This window comes from Homo sapiens, chromosome 21, assembly GCF_000001405.40.
Source record: "Homo sapiens chromosome 21, GRCh38.p14 Primary Assembly".
Classification (NCBI taxonomy): Eukaryota; Metazoa; Chordata; class Mammalia; order Primates; family Hominidae; genus Homo; species Homo sapiens.
In genome coordinates this window covers 44,267,409-44,273,408 of record NC_000021.9, presented here as the reverse complement: position 1 = coordinate 44,273,408, position 6,000 = coordinate 44,267,409, and the positions used below count along the sequence as shown (strand labels likewise).

General features: G+C 52.5%; 1 annotated feature.

Moving 5' to 3' along the window:
* Positions 1,494–2,100: an enhancer, noted in NCBI's record as "H3K4me1 hESC enhancer chr21:45691192-45691798 (GRCh37/hg19 assembly coordinates)". NCBI's record gives its function as "activates a minimal SCP1, AML or CMV promoter by ChIP-STARR-seq in primed H9 embryonic stem cells {active_cell/tissue: H9 hESC(primed)}" and the evidence as "EXISTENCE:reporter gene assay evidence [ECO:0000049][PMID:30033119]".

Below are 6,000 nucleotides of genomic sequence, written 5' to 3'. Positions count from 1 at the left end.
TGGGGGGAACCCCTTCTTGGCTCCCCTCAGAGGCCCCCCATAACCTGCAGAAACTCGCCCACACCCAGGACCGAGGTTGAGCTCAGGCGTCTGCCAGCCTGCCCGGCGGAGGTGCTGGTGGGTGTGGACACCACCTTTGGATGGGCTCCAGGTACTGCTCACATTGCACCACTCGGAGGGAGCCCAAGGTGCCCCACAGGGGTCTCCAAGGACTTCCTAGAACAGAGCCCCCTCCCTTCCACCCTCCACATCTTCCCTCTGCCCACCTGCTCCCTGCCAGGGTAGGTGGCTCTCCCCTGCTGGGCCTTCCATCAGCACCAAGGGGTTGGCAGCGTGGCACCAGGGAACAGCCCTCTGGCACCCCCACCCCTGGCATGGGCCCCATCAGCACTGGGGTTTGTAGTCGGAGCTCTTGTTACCGAAGGGGTTAAAAACAAGCAGCAAACACAGCCGGCTCCACCATAGTCAGAAAGCCCAGAACGAAAGGAATGGAAGAAACCACCACAGGGCGTTGCGTGCTGATGGGAGCTTCCCACAGGGTCTGTCCCCATGAGGCAGTGCAGAGGTGAAGGACAAGGAAAGGATCCAGAACGCATCGGCCAACCCTGAATCCAGAGTCAGACGGTGGCCCTGACAGAGGGAGGTGGGTAAGTGGGGTGTCCTCAGCTGGAGGCCCGGGGGAGCCTGTCGTCTGGACCCGCACACGGCCACCTGTGCCGAGGCGCATCCTCACCCTGGCCCCATTGTGACAGTCCTCACCTGGGGCCCTGCCCCTCTGCTGTCGACTCAGGTGCTCACGGCTGTGCTGGCTTACAGGCTCACCCTGGGCAGGAAGAGCCCCCGACCCTGGGCAGGAAGAGCCCCCCACACCGAGGAGAAGCCTGTGCTCAGAGGGGCCCCAGGAGCCTTCTACGCTGGCAGCCGCCCATGGCCCTTGGCACCAGAAAGGAAGGCACCGCACCCTTGGTCCCCTCCTGGCCCAGCCCAGCACCTGCTCTTCCTCCAGACCCCAGCGCAGCTTGACTTCCCAGCCCCTCATTGCTGGCCTTTTGCCGGGCAGCCAGTCCCTGTTCCCTGCCATGGAGGAACCCTCCCTCTGCCCAGCAGGCCTGCCTTCTGGCCTCACCCCTGTATCTCTGCAGGGTCCCCTGGCTATCCCAGGTTCCCAAAGAACCCGCCCTAGCCCACTTGGCCTCGGGGCCGCAGCCCTGCCTGGTGGGTCCACTTTTCCCAGAGACTTGGCTGGCTTTCTCCCAGCGTCTGCCCAGGGCCTGCCCTGGAGCAGGTCTGGACACACCCACTGCATGGACAAGAGAAACAACATGGCTCCCTCAGCCTCTCCACCCGGCCAGAGACAAGGGGAGCAGGCCCCAGATGTGCTGATGGGTTAGTGCTGGGGAAAGGTGCCAACCCTTGAGTGATAGTAACGTGTGCAGAAAACACACAGGGAGTCTCCAGGTCAGAGGGCCTCTGCAGGCACCCCCATTCCGGCATCCTCAGCCCTGGCCCTGAGCCCCCAGGCAGACTCCAGCCATTCCTCAGCCCTTCCGGGTCTCTGGTGTGCTGTTTCTGAGCCACTGCAGGCCATGGAAGCGGGCACTGAGGCCAGGGTGCTCTGGGGACGTCCCTTCCACACCCATGTCCCCACCTGTTCCTGGCCTGCTGAGGCACAGAGAATAGAGGAGAATGTGGCCTGGTTCGGGGCTGGAAGGGAGTCCCCTGAGATTAAGAGGGAGGACAAAAGAACGGAAACTACCCAAATGTCCCTCAGTGGGGGCAGGTGAGAGACCGGGCGTCCCTCTCCGCAGATAATGGGCCAGCCAGTAACGGGAAGCCGGGACCGAGGGCTCAGACTGCGTGGGGTCCAGCGTGCCACTGTTTAATCTGTAAGCATAAGCGTGGCTTCAGTTGTAGACACATGCATAGATTCATTCTGATGTTAAAATAGGAACTAGGCCGGGCACAGTGACTCACACCTGTGATCCCAGCACTTTGGGAGGCTGAAGCGGGCAGATCATCTGAGGTCAGGAGTTCGAGACCAGCCTGGCCAACATGGTGAAACCCCGTCTCTACTAAAATTACAAAAATTAGCCGGGCATGGTGGCAGGTGCCTGTAATCCCAGCTACTCAGGAGGCTGAGGCAGGAGAATCGCTGGAACCCAGGAGGCGGAGGTTGCAGTGAGCCAAGACCGTGTCATTGCACTTCCAGCCTGGGCGACAGAGCAAGACTCCGTCTCAAAAAAAAAAAAAAGAGAAGAAAAGAAAAGAAAGAAAAGGGAAATAAAATATAATGGAAAAATATTCACAATACCAGTGAATACTCACTTTTTTTTTTTTTTTTGAGACAGAGTCTTGCTCTGTCCTACAGGCTGGAGTGCAGTGGTGCGATCTCAGCTCACTGCAACCTTTGCCTCCCAGGTTCAAACAATTCTCATGCCTCACCACACGAGTAGCTGGGATTACAAGCATGTGTCACCATGCCCGGCTAATTTTTGTATTTTTAGTGGAGACAGGGTTTTGCCATGTTGGTTAAGCTGGTCTCTAACTCCTGGGCCCGAGTATCTGCCCACCCAGGTGCTGGGATTATAGGCGTGAGCCACTGCACCCTGCTGTAAGTACTCAACATTTTTTAAAAAGAGGAAAGAGACTGGGCGCGGTGGCTCTCGCCTGTAATCCCAACACTTTGGGAGGCCAAGGTGGGGGGATCACCTGAGGTCAGGAGTTTGAGATCAGCCTGACCAACATGGAGAAACCCCATCTCTACTAAAAATACAAAAAATTAGCTGGGCATGGTGGTGCATGCCTGTAATTCCAGCTACTCGGGAGGCTGAGGCAGGAGAATCGCTTGAACTCGGGAGGTGGAGGTTGCGGTGAGCCGAGATCGTGCCATTGCACTCCAGCCTGGGCAGCAAGAACGAAACTCCGTCTCAAAAAAAAAAGAGGAAAGAGGCCGGGTACAGTGGCTCACGCCTGTAATCCCAGCACTTTGGCAGGCCGAGGCAGGCGGATCACCTGAGGTCAGGAGTTCGAGACCAGCCTCAACATGGAGAAACTCCGTCTCTACTAAAAGAAATACAAAATTAGCCAGGCGTGGTGGTGCATGCCTGTAATCCCAGCTACTTGGGAGGCTGAGGCAGGAGAATTGCTTGAACCTGGGAGGCGGAAGTTGTAGTGAGCCGAGATCACGCCATTGCACTCCAGCCTGGGCAACGAGAGCTAAACTCCGTCTCAAAAAAAAAAAAAAAAAGAAAGAGGAAAGAAATGGAAAGATACATCATGTTCCTAGATTTAACTTTTTTTTTTTTTTTTTGGCAAGGTCTCACTCTGTCACCCAGGCTGGAGTGCAGTGGTGAGACCACGGCTCACTGCAGCCTCGAACTCCTAGACTCAGTGATCCTCCCACCTCATTTTGGGTAGAGATGGGGTCTTGCTATGTTGCCCAAGCTGGTCTCCAACTCTTGGCCTCAAGAAATCCTTCAGCTCAGCCTCCTAAAGCACTGGGATTACAGGTGTGAGCCCCTGTGTGTGCCTGGATTTAATTTTTTTTTTTTTTTTGAGACGAAGTTTTGCTCTTGTTGCCCAGGCTGGAGTGCAATGGCGCAATCTTGGCTCACTGCAACCTCTGCCTCCCAGGTTCAAGCAATTCTTCTGCCTCAGCCTCTCAGGTAACTGGGACTACAGGTGCCCACCACCACGCCCAGCTAATTTTTGTATTTTTAGTAGAGATGGGGTTTCACCACGTTGGCCAGGCTGGTCTCAAACTCCTGACCTCAGGTGATCCATCTGCCTCGGCTTCCCAAAATGCTCAGATTACATGCGTGAGCCACGGTGCCCGGCCTGGATTTAACTTCTTAATAGTATTTTTACAAGTCAGTTCTTCCTTAATTAGTGTGTAAATCTAATACCATTCATTCCAATCAAATTACCAATGGGATTTTTCAAAGAACTTGATTTAATGTTCTTGTGGAAGGTGAGTGAACACGAGACAAGACACTTCTGAAGACTGTCACACGGCGCGGGGTGTTTAAACATGGTATAAAGCTACAGCCAGCGTGGCAGGAGCTCCAAGGCAGAAACTGACACACCCCTGGAGAGAAATGCAAAGCCTGAGACCCAGGCACTCAGAGAGGCAGGTGATTGACACACGGTTTTGAATGCATCAGGGAATGGAGGGCGTATTCAAAAGTGATCTTGAGAGAACTGGATAGTAATTCGCAAAAGCCATGGCAAACACTAAAATTATTCCAATTAGAATTAATACATAAAATGACTTAAATGAAGACATGAAATGATGAAATGGAAAAAATGAAATAAAATATCCAAAGAAAATAAAGGTGCATGCTTATACCATCTTGGGGTGAAGAGGAACTTTTTAAATATGTTAGGAAGAATGGAAATCTAAAAAAAGACTCGTAGACAGGGCCAAGCGCAGTGGCTCACACCTGTAATCCCAGCACTTTGGTAGGCCGAGGTGGGCAGATCACGAGGTCAGGAGTTGGAGACCAGCCTGACCAACATGGTGAAACCCTGTCTCTACTAAAAATACAAAAAAAAAACCAGCTTGGCATGGTGGCACGTGCCGGGAATCCCAGCTACTCGGGAGGCTGAGCCAGGAGAACTGCTTGAACCCAGGAGGCGGATGTTGCAGTGAGCAGAGATCATGCCATTGCACTCTATCCTGGGCAACAGAGCGGGACTCCTTCTCAAAAAAAAAAAAAAAGACTCATGGACCTGACTAAATGATAATGTAATATGCTTGCATAGAAAAATGCCATTAAACATTAAAATAGATTAACAAGCTGAAGAAAATATTTGTGACTTATGTATACGAGGATTATATGAGTCAATATCTTTAATATATAAAGAGGCTTTCAAATTAATAAGAAAAAAACAAGCAAGGGTTACAAAGAAAATGAAAGGAACAGAGAAGAGAGACTTAAGCTTTGCCAGAGATTTCATGTCATAGTTCAGTAGCATTGGGGGCTGCACAATCCAGCACCATTTCACTGTTCCCACTTTGCAGCTTTTGAATATTGAGCTATGAAAGTATGTGACATATGCGAACATCATAAAACTCGTGTTTTCCAGAACACAATTTCGTACATGGCTTTTATAAATGTACCATAAAGGAAATTTCCTTTACTTAGTAGGTTTGGGGGAAATGGTGGATAATTTAACGGGTGAAGCAGATGTAGTATTTCGGGATTCTCAGACTCTAATACAAAGGTGCCAACTGTGACCACAGCGTGTCCCTGACTATCTGACCGTGTTCACCGTGGCAGCTCTGGACCGGGCTCGGCTAGGAGCGCTGTGGTTCTTCAATGGGGAGCCTCAGTGAACCCCAACTATGGCCCGGGAAGAGGCTTCACGCACCCCTTTCAGCCAGGAGAGGGGGATATTCGGTCATTTTTGTGGGTGGCCCCGGGACCTTGTTTTTGTGGGAGCCACGATTTGGAAGTGGCCTTATTTTTTCACTCGTTTTATTATTGTCCCGAACAGCCTTGTCTGAGGCCTGCTCTGTGAGGCTGCTGACGTCTGCAGGAGAGAACCAGGACCTCACTGTGGGCGCTGGGCCCACTCCCAGGCTTGTCTTTCTCAATATTAAAGCATCAGCTTCATCCAAGGTTGAGAGAGCCGCAGGCCTGGGTGTGGCGCTGGAGAGCAGTCTGGGGACCCATGGGCCCTGGGGCGCCTTGCAGTCCTCTCTAGATCAGGAGACGCAAGAGCTCACGCCACCTCTAACTCCAGCGGCACTTTGTCTTCAGGAGAAAAATGAATGTTTGCTCATTCGTTCATTCACTCCACAAACACAAAACGTATCACCCCCCACCCCACTACAGCTGTGACTCGATGTGGCCACTGAATGTGGAGGGGTCACCACGTCCCCTTCGCCTGCCGTGATCACCACCTCAGTCTGCCCCTCAGAGGCCCAAGGACATGAGTGTGTCTCCAGATGCTGGGCTTTGGCTCCTGCTGTCTATAGATTGATCAAGCAGAGGT